This window comes from Homo sapiens, chromosome 12 (genome assembly GCF_000001405.40).
Source record: "Homo sapiens chromosome 12, GRCh38.p14 Primary Assembly".
Classification (NCBI taxonomy): domain Eukaryota; kingdom Metazoa; phylum Chordata; class Mammalia; order Primates; family Hominidae; genus Homo; species Homo sapiens.
In genome coordinates this window covers 101,969,237-101,991,128 of record NC_000012.12, presented here as the reverse complement: position 1 = coordinate 101,991,128, position 21,892 = coordinate 101,969,237, and the positions used below count along the sequence as shown (strand labels likewise).

The window sequence follows — 21,892 nt, the reverse complement described above, 5'->3', positions numbered from 1 at the left end:
TAAACAATATAATCCTGAATGACCAATGAATCAATGAAGAAATTAAAAAGGGAATCAAAAACTTCTTTAAACAAATGATAATGGAAATACAGTAGAACAAAACCTATAGGAAACAGTGAAAGCAGTACTAAGTGGGAATTTTATAGCTATAAGTGCTTATATGAAAAAAGAAGAAAAACTTTAAATAAACAACTTAATGATGCATCTTAAACATAATTAAACTAGACAAAAGCAAACCAAACCCAAAATTAGTAGAAGAAAAGAAATAATAAAGATAAGAACAGAAATAAATGTATTTGAAATGAAGAAAACAATACAAAAGATCAATGAAACAAAAACGTGGGTTTTTTCAAAAGATAAACAAAATTGACAAGACTTTAGCCAAACTAAGAAAAAAAGAAAGAAGACCCAAGCAAATAAAATCAGAGATGAAAAAGGAGACATTACAACTGATACCACAGAAATTCAAAGGATCTTTAGTGTCTATTATGAGCAACTATATGTCTTATTTATTTTATTTATTTATTTATTTTGAGAGGGAGTCTCGCTCTGTCGCCCAGGCTGGAGTGCAGTGGCGTGATTTCGGCTCACTGCGAGCTCCGCCTCCCGGGTTCACGCCATTCTCCTGCCTCAGCCTCCCGAGTAGCTGCGACTACAGGCGTCTGCCACCACACCCGGCTAATTTTTTGTATTTTTAGTAGAGACGGGGTTTCACTGTGTTAGCCAGGATGATCTCGATCTCCTGACCTCGTGATCCGCCCGCCTAAGCCTCCCAAAGTGCTGGGATTACAGGCGTGAGCCACCGCGCCCGGCCGGGCAACTATATGTCAATAAATTAGAATACCTAGAAGAAATGGATAAATTCCTAGACACATGCAACCTACCAAGATTGAACCATGAAGAAATCCAAAACCTGAACAGACCAATAACAACTGATAAGATCAAAGCCATAATAAAAAGTCTCCCAGCAAAGAAAAGCTCAAGACTTGATGGTTTCACTGCTGATCTCTGCCAAACATGTAAAGAAAGATACCAATCCTACTTAAAACTATTCTGAAAAATAGAGGAGGCAATACTTCCAAACTCCTTCTATGAGGCCAGTCTCACTCTGATACCAAAATCAGACAAAGACATATCAAAAAAAATATATAGGCCAATATCACTGATGAATATTAATGCAAAACCCTCAACAAAATACTAGCAAATCAAATTCAACAATATATTAAAAATATCAGTAATTATGACCAAGTGTAATATATCCCAGGGATACAAGGATGTTGATATGATACATTAAGCAACAGAATAAAGAACAAAAACCATATGATCATTTCAATTGATGCTGAAAAAACATTTGATAAAATTCAACATCTCTTCATGATAACTCTCAAAGAAATAGAAAGAACATATCTCAACATGATAAACGACATAAGCAACAAACCCACAGCTAGTATCATACTGAATGGGGCAAACCTGAAAGCCTTTCCTCTAAAATCTGGAACAAGACAAGGATGCCCACTTTTACCAGTTATTCAGCTTAGTACTAGAAGTCCTAGCAGGAGCAATTAGACAAAAGAAAGAATAGAAATAAAGGGCATCCAAATTTGAAAGAAAGAAGTAAAATTATTAACATTTGCAGATAATATGATCTTATATTTAGAAAAACCTAAAGACTCCACCAAATCTCTATTAGAACTGATAAACAAATACAGTGAAGTTTCAGGATACAAATCAACATACAAAAAAGAGTAACATTTCTATATGCCAACAATGAACAATCTGAAAAAGCATTGTAATCCCATTTGCAATAGCTAAAATAAAATAAAATAAAATAAAATACCAGGGTTTTAACTTAGCCAAAGAAGTGAAAAATCTTTACAATGAAAACTATAATTGATGCAAGAAATTGAAGAAGACACAAAAAATGGAATGATATTCCATGTTCATGGATTGAAAGAAATCAATATTGTTAAAATGTCTGTATTATCCAAATCAATCTACAGATTTAATGCAATCAATTCCTGTCAAAATACCAATGACATTCTACAAAAAATAGAAATAACAATCCTAAAATTTATATGGAAACACAAAAGACTCAGAATATCCAAAGCTATTCCAAGCAAAAAGAACAAAACTGGAGGAATCACCATTACCTGATTTTAAATTATACTACAGAGCTACCTATAGTAAACGAAATGGCATGGTACTGGCATAAAAAGAAACACAAAAATCAATGGAACATAATAGAGAACCCAGAAATAAATCCATAAATCTACAGTGAATTTATTTTTGACAAAAGTGCCAAGAACACATATTAGAGAAGGATAATCTCTTCAATAAGTGGTACTGGGGAAAGTGGATATATACGCCAAAAAAAAAAAAAAAAATGAAACTAAACCCTTATCTCTCACCACATACAAAAATCAAATATAAATACATTAAAGACTTAGAATCTGATACCTGAAACTATGAAACTACTGTAAGAAAACATTGGGGAAACTCCAGGACATTGGACTGGGCAAAGAATTCTTGAATAATACCCTACGAGCATAGGCAACCAAATTGAAAATGGATAAATGTGATAACATCGAGTTAAAAAGCTTTTGCACCCCAGCCTGGGCGACAGAGTGAGACCCTGTCTCAAAAAATAAAGCACAAACAAACAAAGAACCTTTTGCACAGCAAAGGAAACAATCAACAAAGTGAAGAGACAACTCACAGAATGGAAAGAATGGGAAAAAATATTTGCAAAATGCCCATCTGACAAGAGATTAATAACCAGAATATATAAAGAGCTCAAACAACTCTATAGGAAAACATCTAATAATCTGATTTTAAAATGGACAAATGACCTGAGTAGATATTTCTCAGAAGAAGGCAAACAAATGGCAAACAGGTGTGTGAAAAAGTGCTCAACATCATTGATGATCAGAGAAATGCAAATCAAAACTACAATGAGATATCATCTCACCCGAGTTAAAATGACTTTTGTCCAAAGACAGGCAATAACAAATGCTGGTGAGGACATGGAGAAAAAGAAACGCTCATACACTTTTGGTGGGAATGTAAATTAGTGCAACCACTATGGAGAACAGTTTGGAAGTTCCTGAAAAAAGAAAAATAGAGGTATCATGTGATCCAGCAATCCTCATTGCTAGGTGTAATATATACCAAAAAGAAAGGAAATCAGTATATCAAAGAGGTATCTGCACTCTCATGTTCGTTGCAGCACTATTCACAATAGCCAAGATTTGGAAGCAACCTCAGTGTCCATTAATAGGTGAATGGATAAAGAAAATGGGGTACTTACATTCTCATTAAAAAAGAAATGAGATCCTGTCATTTGCAACAACATGGATGGAACTGGCGGTCACTATGTTAAGTGAAATAAGCCAAGGACAAAAAGACAAACTTTACCTGTTCTTACTTATTTGTAGAAGCTAAAAATTAAAATAATTGAACTCATGGAGGTTGAGAGTCGAATGATGATTACCAAAAGACGGGAAGGGTAGTAGGGGTCAGGGGATGGGAGTGGGGATGGTTAAAGGGTACCAAAAAATAGTTAGAAAGAATAAGACCTAGTATTTGATAGCACCACAGGGTAAGTCTGAAGTAATTTAATTGTACATTTTAAACTAACTAAAAGTATACTTGGATTGTTTATAACACAGAGGATAAATGCTTGAGGGGATGGATACCCCATTCACCCTGATGTGATTATTATGCATTGCATGCCTGTATCAAAATATCTCATGTAGTCTATAAATATATACACCTACTTTGTACTGACAAAAATTAAAAATAAAAAAGAGGAGAAAAAATACAAAGATTAAGCTAAAAGAATACACTGGATTTGGTAGCAAATAGGTCACTGGTAACCTTGATGAGAAAAATTTCGGGGCAATGATGAAGATGGAAGCCATATGGTAGCATGTTGTGGTATAAATGGGGTATGAAAAAAATACAGAAATCTTTTCAGTGCCTTGGTGTGAGGGGAAAAGATAAAACAGCCAGAAGTCAAGTGGGGTAGAAGGGTCATGGTAGGCTTTTTGACCATTAAACCTTTTATACTTCAAAAGCTCGTAGAGATCTGAACAGGAAAAGAAGAGAATTGAGGGAGAAAGTATCTTGTGAATTGGGAAGAAGACAGAATCCAAAGCTTGAGTGGAGGAAAGATACAAACATGGCAAATTTAAAAATGCATACAAATTAAAAAGTCAACTATAGAAACAAGTATTCATTGCAAACAAGAATTCAGGTATTCATTGAAACAAGTATTCATTGCATCTGGCCAAAAAGTTTCAGTGTTCAGAAAAAGACTAAATCATTTGGACGGGTCTAGGAATGTTCTTTTAGAGGATTACTCTGAAAGTGTGTTAGGTGAAGGTGAAGAAACAGAGCAAGAGCATTCGAGGTGAAAGGACAACAGAAGTAGTGGTTTATGATGAGAAAAAGGCCCTGTATCTTTTAAGCCATGCTCCGAATTTATCAAATGTGGAAAATTTCAGCCATTGTTTCTTTAAATATTTTTTTCTGTCCCCATCTTCCTTTCTTCACCCTTTGGAACTCCAATTATACTTGTTATGCTACTTGATGTTGCCCATAGCTTGCTCACTGATGGTCTATTCATTTTTTCCCCCAACTGTTTTATTGTTTGGTTGGTTTTGCTTCTTTCTTTGTTTTTAAGATAGGATCTCAGTGTGTCACCCAGGCTGGAGTACAGTGGCATGATCGTAGCTCACCGGAGCCTCAGCTCCAGGGCTTAAGCAATCCTCCCACATCAGCCTCCCAAGTAGCTGGGACTACAGGTACACACCACCATGCCCAGCCAACATTTTTATTTTTTGTACAGACAGGGTTTGGCAATGTTGCACAGGCTTTCCCCCAATGTTTTAGTCTCTGTGTTTCGTTTTAGGTAGTTTCTTTTCTTTCTTTTTTTTTTTTTTAGATAGTCTCACTCTGTCACTCAGGCTGGAGTGCAGTGGCTGTGATCTTGGCTCGCTGTTGCCTCTGCCTCCCAGGGTCAAGCAATTCTCCTGCCTCAGCCTCCCAAGTAGCTGGGATTATAGGCATGCACCACCACATCTGGCTAATTTTTGTATTTTTAGTAGAGACAGGCTTTCACCATGTTGGCCAGGCTAGTCTCGAACTCCTGACCTCAGATGATCCGCCTGACTCAACCTCCCAAAGTACTGGGATTCCAGGCATGAGCCACCACACCCAGACTTCATTTTAGGTAGTTTCTATTATGAACTTCTAGTCCGTTGCTCTTTTCTTCTTGTGATGTCTGATCTGCTGTTAATTTCAGCTACATTCAGTGCACTTTTCAACTCTAGAGGTTTGACTTGGGTCTCTTTTCATAGCTTCCATTTCTCTTCTTGTCACGCTCATGCTTTCCTCATACACTTTAAACATATGGGATAAATTTATACTAGCTGTTTTAATGTTGTTGTCTACTAATTCCATCACCTATGTCACTGAGTCTGCTCCTATTGATTTTCTTCCCATCATGGATCTTATGTTCCTGCTTCCATGCATGTCTGGTAATTTTTTATTTAATGTCAGATATTGTAAACTTATTTTTTGAGAGATGCTGGATATGTTTGTAATCCTTTCAATATTTTTGGTCTTTGCACAAGAATGCAGTTAAATTACTTGCAAACAGGCAAGTAATTTAGCGGGTAACCCCAGCACTTTGGGAGGCTGAGGCAGGTGGATCACTTGAAGTCAGAAGTTTGAGACCAGCCTGGCCAACATGGCGAAACCCTTTCTCTATTAAAAATACAAAAATTAGCCACTGGGCATGGTGGCACATGCCTGTAATCCCAGCTACTCAGGAGGCTGAGGCACGAGAATCACTTGAACCCAGGAGGCAGAGGTTGCAGTAAGCTGAGATCACACCACTGCATTCCAGCCTGGGCAACAGAGTGAGACTCCATCTGAAAAAAAAAAAAAATTACTTGAAAACGGTGTGATGTTTTCAAGGCTTGCTCTTTAGCTTTGTTTGGTGGGTGCAGAACAGCCTTTAGTCTCGGGATAATTTGACACTACTATTGAGGCAATATCCTTTGGAAGGCTCCACTCAGTTTCTTTTGTGTTAAGAAGTCTTTCTACTGTAGCTCATGGGAACGTAAAATATTCCCAGCCCTGTGTGTGCTCCAAGTATTGCTCTACCTGCTCCTTTTCAGTGGTTTCTTCTCGAGCTTGATAATTTCCTCAAATTTATGCACTAATTATTACTCACCTAAAGACTCAAAGGGACCCTCTGCAGATATCTGGAGCTCTCTCTCTCTCTCTCTCTCTCTCATTGCAGCTTCCTTCTATCCTGTACTTCGCCCCTCTATGAAGTCTAGCTGCCTTGGCCTCTCTGAACTCTGAATTCTGTCTCTTCAGCTCAGGGAGATCACCAAACTAGGCTAGTTCCCATTCCTGTGCAGTGACCTGGAAATTCTTTAGCCAGTAATCTGGGTCATTCTTCAGGTTCATCCTGGCTTTTTTTTCCCTTTCGGGGGAATGCCTTTTTTCTAATGTCTGAAAATCATTGTCTCATAGATTTTTGACCAATTTTTAATTTTTTAAGAAAGGAGGGCAAATTTTGTTCTGGCTACTCTATTATGGCCATAAGTGAAACTTCAATGTTTTAACTTCAATTAGAGTCTTAAATTTAGTTAGAATGTGAGCTTATTGAAATTAAGCTAGCACCTAGAATAGAACTTGGCACATAGTAGACATTCATTAAATATTTTTTGAATGAATGAGGTCTGCTTCCTTCAGTATTGTCCTCAATAAACTTTTTTTCTTTTACTTCTAACCATTTCTCTAACCATTTGCATTTAGGAAGTAAACATTATCAGTTCCATTTACTCTCCTGAAATATTGACTCTCCTATATCCATCTTGGTGTGGTTAACATACTTCCATAAAATTTATTTTTTTAATTTTTTTTTCAGAAACGGGTCTCATTATGTTGCCCAGGCTGGTCTTGAACTCCTGGGCTCAAGTGATCCTCCCACGTTGGCCTTCCGATGTTTTGGGATTACAGGCATGAGCCAATGCAACCGGCCTTCCATAGAACTTTTAAAATGTTTAGAAAAAAATTTCCAAGAGAGGACCTAAATAAACTGTAGATTCCTCTGTTTGACTTAATCTGCTGATATCTTTGTGAGCAGAATCTCTCATCAGTTGTGTACCCATCAAACAGTAGTCTAATCCAGTGGCCTAAATTTTCCTCAGAGGAAATGATTCGTACATCTGATCTGCCAAAATAATTTAGCGTGGCCCTGGTCTCACATTATAATTTATGCTCTGAACACTAGAAAGTGCTAGAGAATGGCTAGTATTGGCATATTGCCTCTGTCTCTTACACGCTACCAGGCTACCTGCTTAAAAAAAAAATGTCTTGGGTAAAATTGTCTCTTAAATCAGAAGAATAAAGTAAATTCAGTTCAAAGTTATTAACTGTGTTAGCACATAGTAGGCATTTAGGCTCCCTCCATCCTCACTACAGCTGGTCTTCTTTTATCCCTACTGGCATGTTTGTAATTTGAAATGACAAGAGTTGAATTGCATACATCATTCCAGCATTAAAAGAAAAAATAACACTTTATTTGGATTAAAAGAATCAGATGTGAATTAAATGAAAATGAATTTTAAGTGAAAATAATTTCACTTAAATATATTCTCTTAACATATTCTCCTCAACTTAAAGTGGAATTTAGTGAGAGTACCAGCAGACAGCCACAGCATAAACGACTTATCACCGCTGCTTTTAAAGGGAGCATTTCCTGATGTATTGCTTTTGCTCTACATTTATTTTTTACTTTAGAATAATAAATCTAGATCCTTAAGTCCTAGAAGGAATTGGCTTCACTTAACAACTTGAATTGTAGTCCCTAGACTCCGAGGGCTTATCACTAGCAAGATAGATCAGGACTGGAAGTATGATTTGTTTAGAGAGGTTTTTGGATATTTCTTTTCAGTTTTCAATGAAGAAGAGCAATAAGTTTGCTTATTTGGGCTTACTGTTGAGTCAAAGTTAAAACACACAGCCTTTTTTTTTTTTTTTTTCTGAGACATAGCATGTTAATAACTGAAAGTTTTCTTCTAGGTGAGATGCTCAAGTCACAATTTAGCTCTTATTATACATTGCCCTCACAGTAACCATACATTTCTGGAAGCGATCTCACTTTAAACAGTTGAAACCGAATGGAAATGAAAAGGATCTCTTAGAGTTTCTTATGTTTAAGTAAAAGAATGCAATTATTTTTCAACTTTAGGAACTACACTGCCCAAACAGGCTAGTAAAGCAATGATAGTAGTAGCAAAACACAACTCTGTAAATTTAATTTATTAGCAGAAACTTAGTTTGATTTTCCAGATGAAAAAGTGCTGAAACATTTCGAGCACAAAACTTCCAAGGTGCAGGTGGATGTCATCCATCACATGGGGGTGGAAGGGCCAAGTTTAATTTATTTTTCCCTCCTTTTATTTGTACTAATAATTTGAGGGCAGAGCTTTTCAATGTTGACTGTAATTATTAGGCCAAGAGATTTTAGTCGACAAGGTTACAACATTCAGTGCAGAGGAAAACCGGGACAAATCAAAGTCAAAATAAGTTTCTCCTGGAACTATTACACGAGTGGGAACAGCTTGTTCATTAATTGCACAGATGAAGTCATTTTTGTTGTGCTGATATTAAAGGCTTGACATGAGAATCTTTCAGTCCCATCTCGCTCTGCAATATAACCCTGGTGACAGGTATTTAGGAACTGCCCGTTCTTCCAAAATGTTCACTGTCTACCAAGTACTATCAGACTGTCCATATACATAGTTAAACTGCTCCCAACTTTTTTAAAGCACCGCAGACCTTCCATGTGGTAGGCACGCCTCAGGTTGTAACTCTTCCCTTTGAATTGGATAGTCATTATTTAACTTTTGAATTTTTTTTTTGCTTGCTTACACTTCAGAAACAGTGAATAATGCTTTGCTTTTTTAAAGAGACCACTTCTATTTAAAAGCAAACTTACTTCCTAAATGCAAAGAGCCTTGCAAAATGTAGTTAAATACTTTACAGGATGTCTCAGACCCTTGCTTAAGTTTATTTTCATTGGTGGAGACTCCTTGGGGCTATTTCACATTCTGTTCAATGCTAACACGTACCAAATTTGTAGAATCATGGGAGATTGTTGGTATGAAGCAGGAAGGTTTGCAAAATTAAGACAAATTAAGCTGAATGTCAGTGTTATGACCAAACATGACAATTTCCACTAGTCCACAGGAAAGTAATAATAATTGGAAGCCCTGCAGTTGAATCCAGGAATGCCCTTTCTGAAGTTGCTTGCTGTTTACCAATGTGAAAGCAAAATGATCCTTCAAGTACTGTTTCTTGAGAATTTGCTATTGTTATGTGATCTTCTAATAGAGATATTGGCTCCAAGCTCTTTGCAAGAGTATTTTGCAATAACCTCTTCTTTAAAAAGGTTGACTCGATGTGAACATGTCAGACTACAACTTGCCTGACATGAAAGTTATTATTATGAGACCTTTTCCCCTCCTTGACTTTTTTGCTTTTTAATGTCCCCAAATAATAAACCATCTCAAATTTCTTGTTTAAATAATTTTTATAATATGCAAACTGTACTGAACACCATGGCTATCAAAACGAGCCTGCAGTTGCACTGATCTCCATGGAAACATTAAAATGCAGATAAACAATCCTAGACAATAGATAAGAATGCATTAACCTGTTTATTACAGTTTGAATTTCTTCCTAGTACACATATTGGCAAGTTCCCTAAGAGGAAAAAAGTTCAGAAAAATCAGAGGAAATAGAGCAATTTTATGATTGCAATATGAACTTTCTATAGAAGTTCTGACCAATAGTATAATAGGCCATAGAAGTTATTTTAATTTTGTCTAAAAGCTATATTTTTCAAAGTAAAAAGAAACATTTATTTTTATAATATATGTTATTTAACCCAATATATCTGAAATTGTATTCAACACGTAGCTGGTACAAAAAGCAGTAATGAAACATTTTATACTTTTTTCTCATATTAAGTCTTTGAAATATGGTAAACTGTATTTGACACTCAACGGCAAATCTGAATTCAGACTAGTCACATTCAAATGCTCAATAGCCACATGTGGCTAGTGCTACCATGTTGGAGAGAGCAATTCTACAGGATAGAATTGCTTGACATATCTACTGCATTTAAAAAAGGAATAGAGTCTCTTTGGTGTATAGCCCTTGCAGTTTTCCCCTTGGACTTGTTTAGAAACTATATTATCCCCCTCACTGACCCCCAAGGACCTGATATGTTCCTGTCCAGAATGATTAGGGTGCTATGCATGTTACAAGATGGCATTTTGCTTCCCTTTGTCTTCTATATTAAAATTGTGCCCCAAGCCAAAAGTGAATCTTGGTTGCTGGCTGTAATATTAATCTTCTGGAATCTTTCCCACTTCAAGGCCTCTGTTCCCACAACCTACTGCTGAAGCTGATTTGAACCTAAGAGGAGGCTCATCCAATTCTGATGGGCCAAAAGCTGTTGTCAACATGAACAGCCTATTAGCGAGCACACATTGAGTGCCACTGTAGGCTGGTCAGTAGCTTCATTCATAACCTCATTTGCTCAGATCCTCATTTGCTTCCAGCAGCACATCAGTAGCGTAGTGTCCATCTAGTTCCCTAATTGTACAGCATCTCCCCATGCTCTCTCTGCAGGTGCTCCAGCCACATGGAAATCGCTTCTTGCCAGTTCTTGACCATGCCTTATCATTCTTATCACACCAGGTTTATATACGCAGTTTCCTTTGTCTAGAATGAACTTTTCCCTCTTATTTACAGGTCAAAATCCTACACATCCATTCTATGAAATCCAGTGCAGTGTCTTAGCTTCCCTACTTATTCCTGGTGAGTTGCCCTGCTAATCCAAAAACACCTTTGTTTCTGATGAGAGGATCTACAGCTACTTCCATGAGCTAGTCCAAAAATGCTCACACTTTGAAGAGCATTAATGCTTCCGTCTTATCAAGACTAGTCTCTTAGAAAAAGAAGTAAAAGCTTTATTTTAAAGGTTCACTTGGAAGCATTTGAAAAGAAGAATTAATACTTTTTACCATAGTCCTATCAAGAAGGGACTAAAAATGAGACATGGACCTTCTAATGCCTTTTTGTGGCCTGAATCCACATAAGCACTCATTTTGTGAGTATTAATTCTCTCTTTAGTATTTTTCAGTGTCGTTTCCGTTCATGTTTTTATTATTTTATTTTTATTTATTTTATTTTTGAGATGGAGTCTCACTCTGTCACCCAGGCTGGAGTGCAATGGCACAATCTCGACTCACTGCAACCTCCACCTCCTGGGCTCAAGCAATTCTCCTGCCTCAGCCTTCTTTGTAACTGGGATTATAGGTGCCCACCACCAGCCCAGCTAATTTTTGTAATTTTAGTAGAGATGGGGTTTCACCATGTTGGCCAGGCGGGTCTCGAACTCCTGAACTTAAATGATCCACCTGCGTTGGCCTCCCAAAGTGCTGGGATTACAGGTGTGAGCCACCAGGCCTGGCCTATTTCATTTATTTTATTTTTATTTATTTATTTTTTTTTTTTTTTGAGACGGAGTCTCGCTCTGTCACCCAGACTGGAGTGCAGTGGCGCAATCTCGGCTCACTGCAAGCTCTGCCTCCCGGGTTCATGCCATTCTCCTGCCTCAGCCTCCCAATTAGCTGGGACTACAGGCGTCTACCACCACGCCCAGCTAATTTTTTGTATTTTTAGTAGAGACGGGGTTTCACTGTGTTAGCCAGGATGGTCTCAGTCTCCTGCCCTCTGGATCCACCCGCCTTGGCCTCCCAAAGTGCTGGGATTCCAGGCGTGGCCCACCGCACCTGGCCTATTTTATTTTATTTTATTTTTTAAGACAGAGTCTCACTCTTGTCACCCAGGCTGGAGTGCAATGGTGTGATCTCAGCTAACTGCAACCTCCACCTCCCGGGTTCAAGTGATTCTCGTGCCTCAGCCTCCTGAGTAGCTGGGATTACAGGCATGTGCCACCAGGCCCAGCATTTATTCATGTTTTTACAGCAGAGGTATCAACAGTTCACTCTCATACCTAAGCATATTCCAGATCAAACTCATCACCATCTCTCTAAAACCTGTTCTTGTGGACTCTCTAAGTTATCAAAAGGACATTACTTGGAATTACACTCAATGTGTCCCTCTGTGTCACTCCTGACAACAAATACATTGCCAAGTTTTCTTATTCTACCTCTGCAGCATCGTTGGCAATTATTCCGCCTTGCTGTTTCCATTGCCAACATTCTAGTTCAGGCCCACATCACTTCTCACCTATACCCTTGGAATCACCTCTAGCCCTGTTTCCCTTCAACTCCTAAATTTCAACTTCTATCAAGGTGATGTTTCTAAGGCCCAGGTCTAAGCATGTTGCCTCCCAGCTCAAAAACCCTCAGCTCCTTCCCTTCACCTAATAAACACAGTCCAAATTCTTTAGCCTGATAGTCAAGGCCCACCCATGCTCTGACCCCAATATAACATTATAATGTGATCTCCTCCTACTCCCCTACAGGCTCTCCAGCCAAAATGTACTCATCAACTCCCAAATACACCCTACCCATTCTAGCATCTGGGTCTTGTCTGCAGTGTTCTTGTCCTTTCTTACTTCCCTAACTTCTCGCTGATTGAAATATGACACCATCCTTCAAGTCCCAGTCAAAGCTACTATCTCTTCCAGGCAGTCCTTCTGGATTTTTTTCAGCAGAAAATAATCTTTTGGTCTTTGTGTAGACTTTAGTTGTATCTCTATGATGACTTGCTCTGTAGTTTACATTGTAAGCTTGTTTGTGTGTGTAGTATGTGAGTATCTCATCACTGCCCAAATTATAAGATTCATTTCATTTGTTCAACTAATATTTTTATTGAGTATTTGTGCTGTGCTAATGCAATATAGAAAATGGTGAGCCAGACAGATATAGAATGTTCATTTTAGAGGGTCATCATACAGTGCCTAGCATGCATCTTGCACTTTGCAAACAATGTTATTTGTTGAATACCCGACTGAATTTATCTGAAACATATATATCCAGAAAGTTTTATTTTCAGAACAGAAAAGTAAGAATAGAGGATAAATTTAAAAGTCTTCGGAGCAGCCAAACTCGGCGTTCACAACATAGATGTGTTTGACTCTTGCCCAGTTTGGCCATGGAGACTCCGGCAAGCCCTCACACAGAGAGCCCTTTTCTCTTCGTTTACACACATTTCTAACAATAATAATCATGACAACAACCACAGTGAGCTTGGGCATCTGATTTCCAACTCATTTTAGATGAGAAGCAGCAAATTAGGATCAGGGAATAGAAATGGCACACTCACATGGACATCAGTGAGATGGACAGCGGCAAGGGAGGACTCAGAAGAGCCAAAAAAACAAAACAACAATAAAAACACAGAAATCTGCAGCCATTTAGAATAGGGACAAACAGTTCTGCAAACCTCAGAGGGGCCTGAGGGCTTCTCAGCGTTATAGGCTTTAATGACAACCCCGAGTCCTCTGGCTGGATCATGTTCATAATGCACTATTTGAGAACGCAGTTAAGTTTGCTATACTGGAAATGTTTCCATCCAAGATAATTAAAAGTAAAACTTTTGATGTTCAAAAAGATAAATCCTCAGCCATCCATTAAACTCACTTATCCAGAACAACTCTCACCCCACCCTGCACCCACAGCCTCTGGATTCAGGGTTTTATTGTGCTTCCCCGTACTACTTGATTCATTTGCCTTAGAACATTTGTTGGCTCTTGGCATCCAGTCCAATTTTCATTCAGTAAGTTTTATTCCCATTTGATGTGCACAATACTCTAAGAGAGCCAGTGGAGGACACAAAAGATTTTTAACATCTAGACCCTAGGCTTGTCTTGGGAATGCTCAGGGTCTAGTTGAAGAGATAAGACCTACAGCCTTGAACCAACATAAGGACACAATAGAGTGAGATAGATGTGAGTGCATGGTGAAACATGAAGTTTGTAATGAAGGATCATTTAGGAAAGGACTAGGGCTAATCAGGCAAGATTTCTTAAAGATGAGCCTCTCAGCTAGAAGTGGAAGATTGGGGGAGGGCATTTTGGGTAAAGAAAACAGCACAAGGAGGAGTATGTAGTAGAGGCAAGAAAGAGCAAATTGTGTTCAGGCAATGGTAAAGAGCCGGCCTGGCAGACTGGGGTTGAGGGGCCCCATTTGGATATAATAAGAGATAAGTTTAGAGCGTTTCCGTAATTTTGTACAAATCCCTGTGATCTTTCTAAGATCATGTCTTAGTTGGCTAGGGCTGCCATAACAAAATCCATAGACTTGGTGGCTTAAACCACAGACATTTATTTCTCACCATTCTGGAGGCTGGGAAGTCCAAGATCAAGATGCCAACCAATTCAGCTTCTGGTGAGATCTCTATTCCTGGTTTGCAGATGGCAGCCTTCTCACTATGTCCTCACATGGTTGAGAGAGACAGAGCAAGCTCTCTGGTGTTTCTTCTTATAAAGGCACTAATCCCATCATAAGGGCCCCAACCCTCATGATTTTGTCTAGCCCTAATTACCTAGCAAAGGCCCCATTGCCAAATAGCATCACATTAGGGATTAGGGCCTCAACATATGCATTTTTAGAGAACACAAACATTCATTTCATAACAGATCATGTGAATGTAAATTTCTGCATTGTATGAAAATCCCCCCAATCAAGTTTAATGTATAGACTGTTATTGTCTTCAATCACATCATTTTGCTAGAGAGTTTAAGTGACAGCTAATTGCAAACTACAGAGCTGCCTTGATTTGCCGTCTCTATGTTCATTTTACGAATACAACCATAGGAAATGTAAAGTTCTCCTTTGGCTAGACACCCTGGAGGATACCACATCTAGAAGACACCACCTAGTGAAGTGTGTGAAGTTTTGGGTGATGGTTAATAGATTCATGGGTAATTGGGTATGAACACAAATATTTTTCTAACACTTATCAACTAATAAGGACTGGAGACTTATCAGCCTGTTAAAATGAGGTTCTAACAGCTGTACTTTTACCTTTTTCACTAGACTATAGGCTGTGGGAGGATGAAGTGTTTTCCCTAGTGTCTAGCCCAGTGCCTACCAGCAAGATGGGATTTAGTATTACGTGAACAACTGAAAAAATGATTAAATGTAAAACCAATTTATTTGTTAACACTTGACTAAAGTAAAATCATGTATTTCTCAAAATAAACTTGGTCTGAATTGGCTGAGACTTTTGTGACTGCTGGATCATGCTTTTTGAACGAATTAGAAATAAACCACAAAATCAGGGATTTAAAAGTAATTCTTCACAAACGTGTTCGTTATAAATCCAATTCACGTATCCTGCTGAATTGGCTGCTTTGTGTAATTGAGGGCCAATTTCAACGTTCGCATGACAATGAAAATCTCAAGCTTAAATTTATTAATACGTTGCCTTGGCAGAACACCAGCCCTCTTAATAGCAAAATATGGAGAGAAAGGATATTAGTCTCCAAAGACTTGAGTTTGATTTTGAAAATAAGCTGATGTTCATTTTTTAAAAATCATTCATAAGAAGACATAACTGTGGAACTATAAAGTTATTTACATGGAAAATAATTTAAAGGACAGAACCAAACAAAATGTTAGTACAGTGTTTAGTTGGAGTTCCTGTTTAAGGAGAGCCCAAAGATAAAGATATTTAAGTGTTTTGGGGCCCACCTGAGCAATTCAAGTCTTGAATAGCTGCTAGCTCACTAATCAGATAACTCCTAATCTAGACATAACTGACAAATAATTTGCCAAATACACCAAGATATGAAGCAGAAGCACTGCGTGGTTAACCAGACAGATCCCAGCAAAAGAGATGACCACATTTCTAATAACTGTGGCTGTCATTTATTATCAGCACTATATCAAGTGCTGGACAGTCATCATTTTATTTAATACATACAAAACCCCTAATGAGCAGATGAGAAACAAAGGCTTAAAAATAGTGGAAATAAATTACCTCAAATCAACAAATCTTTAAACAAGAAAGCAGGATTTAAGCCCAAGATTGTTTAATGGCAAAGCCTTTGCTATTGACCACTCCATATTATTTTATTGTTTCTCAAAGGATGGTAGTTGAATTGGCAACATCAGCAACAACTGAGAATCTATCCCAAAGTCTCAAATTCTACCCAGGTCTACTGAATCAGAATCTCTGGCTATGAGACCTACAAGTTTGTTTTAACCACCTCTCCAGGAGATTCTAAAGCTCACTAAAGTGTGAGAAGTACACCTCTACTCTATTTCTCCAAGCTTAAGAAAATATATATAATATTTCACTTTGCCAGTGAAGATTCTTACAAAACCCAGAAAATGCATATCACATCCATTTCCTTGTTTAGGCTATGTGATCAATTGTCACTATAATTCCTACAAACAGAATATATAAAATGAGCTCCAAGGAAAATGACACGATAGCATTATTAACCACCTAAAATATGAACAAGGGCTACAATGATTGGAATTCTTTCAAGACCTGACTACACATATTGATTTGGGATTAAAACAGTATCACTTAGCTCACTCTCTAAGCTTTAACAGATAAAACAAAATTTTAATATAATCTGACAAATGAGTATCTTGCCAAGAGGGCAAGAAAAGTCAAGAGCAACCATCCAGTGTGCTGTGATGAAAGTGAAACACATGAAAATGACAATCTGAATTTCAATCTATTGCTATGAGTGGTTATCTTGCCAAATAATGAAATGTATTGACCCTAGTGCTGCGCTGTCATTGGCATGTTATACAGACATTGAAATTTTCTAAGCAAAGTTGCTGGAGGTCATTCAAATATTTATAATGGTGTAATAGGTGAACTGAAGACTCTCTTTCAAAAAATTGTTGTTCCAAATTCCTTGATGAAAAAATGTTTGGAATAAAGCAAAGTTTATATGCAAACTTATATGACTGAAATTGACTTTTGTTTCCCTGGGAATTTAAGAATCTTTTTTAATAGTTGAGAGCTGGTGTACAGCTGCAAGAGGATGTCTTAATAAGAACCCAATATTTATGCTTTCTTGATAGAACAAATGAGAGTTCGCGCTCTGTTTTCTATCTTACTTATGCTGAAAGCCTGGCAACGCTAGAATATAATACTTGCTCCTTCAAAATGTTTCTAAATTGTTGTTCACTGTTTTGTATTTCATCTCAGTGCTGCTTTATTTATAATATTATTAAACCTCAAAGAAACCCATATGGTGGAAGAGAATGAAGAAATTTTGTGATTTCACTGTTTTATTCCTTTATGAAAGAACTGACTTGAAAGTGAAAATTGTTTTAGTCTGCTTTTTATTCACAAGGACTGTGTCCCTGCTTTGCAATGGGATGGCTTAAACAGACAGGTAAATTATATTACACAATAATTTTTTTGACTGATGTATAATTCTAGAGAAATTGTCCTCTTTCCAACAGGTATGTGAAAGTTTATGTAGATAGTTGCTGTTTATATTTATTTATTATTTTTTTAATTGTTTTGTTTTGTTTTTGTTTATATTTAAATAAAGCAAACCCAGCCTTGCAAAAACACAAACATTTTTGTCCAAATACAGACAAGGAATATTGCTACCAGCAGCCCCACTCCTTAAAAATTTCTCGGTTCTTTCTAGCATTACATATTTATTCCTACTGCTTACCATTTTTTCCACTATATTGAGGACCTATAAAAAGCTAGCATTTTTAAGCTAACTTATTTATTTTCATGAGTTCATAATTGTTATATATATTTATGGGATACATGAGATGTTTTGATACCAGCATATAATGTGTAATGATCAAATCAGGTAATTAGGGCATCCATCACCTCAGCTATTTATCACTTATTTGTGTTAGGAACATTCTAGTTCCACTTTTTTTAGTTATTTTTAAATATACAATAAATTATTGTTAACTATAGTCACCCTATTATGCTACTGAATACTAGCTCTTATTCACTTTATCTAAGTGTATTTTTGTATTTATTAACAAGTCCCATTTTATCCACCCCTGCCTGTTACCTTTCCCAGCCTCTGGTAACCATCCTTCTACTCTCTGTCTCCGTGAGTTGTCTTTTTTTTTTAGCTCCCACATGAGTGAGGAAATGCAATATTTATTTTTCTGTGCCTGGCTTATTTCACTTAACGTAATGTCCTCTAGTTCCATCCATGTTGTTGCAAATGACAGGATCTTACTTTTTATGGTTGAGTAATATTCCATTGTGTATAAGGATCACATTTTCTTTATCCTTTCATTCACTGATGTACACTTAGGTTGATTCCATATCTTGGCTGTTGTGAATATTGCTGAGAGTACAGATATCTCTTTGATATACTGATTTTCTTTCTTTTGGATATATACAGAGTAGTGGGATTTCTGGGTCATATGGTAGTACTATTTTTATTTTTTTTAATGTTATACTGTTCTCCATAGTAGCTGTACTAATTTACATTTACACCAACAGTATACAAGAGTTCGCCTTTCTCCACAACTTCACCAGCATTTTTTATAGTTTGTCTTTTGGATAAAAGCCATTTATGGAGAGATGATATCACATTATAGTTTTGATTTGGATTTCTCTGATAACTAGTGATGTTGAGCATTTTTTATTTACCTATTGGCCATGCGTATGTCTTGAGAAATGTTTATTCAGATCTTTCGCCTTTTTAAAAATCAATTATGGCCAGGTACAGTGGCTCATGCCCATAATCCTAGCACTTTAGGAGGCTGAGGCGGGTGGATCACCTGAGGTCAGGAGTTCGAGACCAACCTGGCCAACATGGTAAAACCCTGTCTCTACTAAAAATACAAAATTTAGCCAGGTGTGGTGGCATGGACCTATAGTCCCAGCTACTCAGGAGCCTGACGCAGGAGAATCGGTTGAACTCAGGAGGTGGAGGTTGCAGTGAGCCGAGATGGTACCACTTCACTCCAGCCCAGGTAAAAGAGCGAAACTCCGTCTTGGGAAAAAAAAAAAGAATTATTGGTTGTTTTTTTTTTCCTATTGAGTTGTTTGAGCTCTTCATATATTCTGGTTATTAATCCCTAGTCAGACAGATAGTGTGCAACTATTTTCTCACATTCTGTGGGTTATCTCTTCACTTTGTTGATTGTTTCCCTTGATGTGCACAAGCTTTTTAGTGTGATGTGATTCCATTTGTCCTTTTTTTTTTTTTTTTCTTGCTTTGGTTAACTGTGCTTTTAAGGTCTTACTCAATAAATCTTTGCCCAGACCAATGTCCTAAAGTGTTTTCCCAATGTTTTCTTCTAGTATTTTCATAGTTTCAGGTCTTAGATTTAAGGCTTTAATCCATGTGATTTGATTTTTGTACATGGTAAGAAATAGGAGTCTAGTTTCATTCTTCTGCATATGGATATCCAGTTTTTCAAGCACCATTTTTTGAAGAGGCCGTACTTTCCCCAGTGTATGTTCTTGACACTTTCATTGCAAATGAGTTCACTGTAGATGTATGGATTTCTTTCTGTGTTCTCTATTCAGCTCCATTGGTCTATTTGTCTGTTTTTATGCCAATACCACACTCTTTTGGTTACTATAGCTTTGTATTATAATTTACAGTCAGGTAATGTGATTCCTCCAATTTTCTTCTTTTTGCTCAGGATGGCTTTGGCTATTCTGGGTCTTTTGTTGTTCCATATAAATTTTAGGATTTTTTTGTTGTTGTTTCTGTGATGTATGTCCTTGGTATTTTGATAGGGATTGCATTGAATCTATAGATTGCTTTGGGTAGTATGGACATTTTAACAATATTGATTCTTCCAAATCATGAACATGGAATATCTTTTCCATTTGTCTGTGTCCTCTTCAATTTCTTTTGTCAATATTTTATTGTTTTTATTGTAGAGATTTTTAACTTGTTTGATTAAAAAGATATTTTACTACTAGGTATTTAATACTAGTTTTTTGGTTTTGTTCTGTTGTTGTTGTTGTTGTTGTTGCTGCTGTTGTTTGAGATGGAGTCTCTCTCTGTTGTCCAGGCTGGAGTGCAGTGGTGTGATCTTGGCTCACTGCAACATCCACCTCCCAAGTTCAAGTGACTCTCCTGCCTTAGTCTCCCTAGCTGAGACTACAGGGACTACAGGCACACACCACCATGCCCAACTAATTTTTATACTTTTTAGTAGAGATGGGGTTTCACCATGTTGGCCAGGTTGGCCTTGAACTCCTGACCTCAGGTGATCTGCCTGCCTCAGCCTTCCAGAGTATGGGATTACAGGCATGAGCCACTGCCCCAGGCCTAATACTAGGTATTTTACTTTATTTGTAGCTATTGTAAATGAGATTACTTTCTTTGTTTCTTGTTCAGATTGTTACCTTTTGGCATATTGAAATGCTACTGATTTTTGTATGTTGATTTTGTATCCTGCAACTTCACTGAAACTGTTTATCATTTCTAATAGATTTATTTAGTGGAGTCTTTAGGTTTTTCTAAATCTAAGATTATGTCATCTGCAAACAATGATAATTTAACTTTTTCCTTTTCAATTTAAATGTCCTTTATTTCTTTATTTTGTCTAATTGCTCCCACTAGGACTTCCAGTACTATGTTGAATAACAGTGGTAAAAGTGGGTATCCTTGTCTTGTTCTAGATCGTAGAGGAAAGGCTTTTTCAGCTTTTGCCCATTCAGTATGATACTAGCTATCGGTTTTTTGCATATGTCTTTTATCATGTTGAGGTATGCTCTTTCTATTTTTTGACAGAGTTTTTATCATAAAGAGATGTTGGATTTTATTGAATGTGTTTTTGGCATCAATTGAAATGATTATCTGGTTTTTGTCCTTTATTCTGTTGATATGATGTATCACATTAACTGATTTGTATATGTTGAACCACCCTTGGATTCCTGGGATGAATCCCACTTGATCATGATGAATGATCTTTTAAATGTGTTGTTGAAATTAGTTTTCTAATATTCTGTTGAGGATTTTTGCCTCTATGTTTATCAGAGATATTGACCTGTAGTTTTTCTCTCTTTTGTTGTGTCTTTGTTTGGTTTTGGTATCAGGGCAATACTGGCCTTGTAGAACGAGTTTGGAAGTATTCCTTCATCCTTAATTTTTTGGAATAGTTTGAGTAGGATTAGTATTAGTTCTTAAAATGTTTGATGGAATTCAGCAGTGAAACCATGAGGTCCTGGGCATTTCTTTGATAGGATAATTTTTATTACTGCTTTTATCTCATTACATGTTATTGCTTTTTTCAGGTCTTCCATTTCTTCATGGTTCAATATTGGTAGGTTGTATGTATCCAGGGATTTATTCACTTATTCTAGGTTTTCCAATTTATTGGCATATAGTTGCTCATAATAGTCTCTAATGATCCTTTGAATTTCTGTGGTATCAGTTATAATGTCTATTTTTCATCGCTGATTTTGTTTATTTGGGTCTTTTCCCTTTTTTTCTTAGTCTGACTGAAGGTTTGTCAACTTTATCTTTTCAAATGACCAACTTTTGTTTCATTGATCTTTTGTGGGCCAGCATTATGCTGCATGCTTTACCTGAGATCATATGTACAGGTGCAGAACTCTGACACATGGTAAGCACTCAAGCAAATGTTCTTATCTATAAAATAATACTTGTACTCTCAGCAGATGTGCCTGTAGACAAAGTAATTTATGCTTCTTACCAGCAGAGTTTTGACATAATGTGCATCATCTATTTTTTTTTTTTTTTTTTGAGACAGAGTTTCACTCTGTCACCCAGGCTGGGGTGCAGTGGCACGATCTCAGCTCACTGAAACCTCTGCCTCCTGAGTTCAAGCTATTCTCCTGCCTCAGCCTCCCAAGTAGCTGGAATTACAAGCATGTGCCA

At 37.2% G+C, this 21,892-nt stretch overlaps 1 annotated feature.

Annotated features, from left to right (window-relative positions):
- Nucleotides 16,414-16,583: an enhancer, noted in NCBI's record as "experimental_22809 CRE fragment used in MPRA reporter constructs". NCBI's record gives its function as "activates a minimal promoter by MPRAs in K562 erythroleukemia cells, with activity observed for both the introgressed and non-introgressed 12:102368409 variant alleles {active_cell/tissue: K562}" and the evidence as "EXISTENCE:reporter gene assay evidence [ECO:0000049][PMID:34662402]".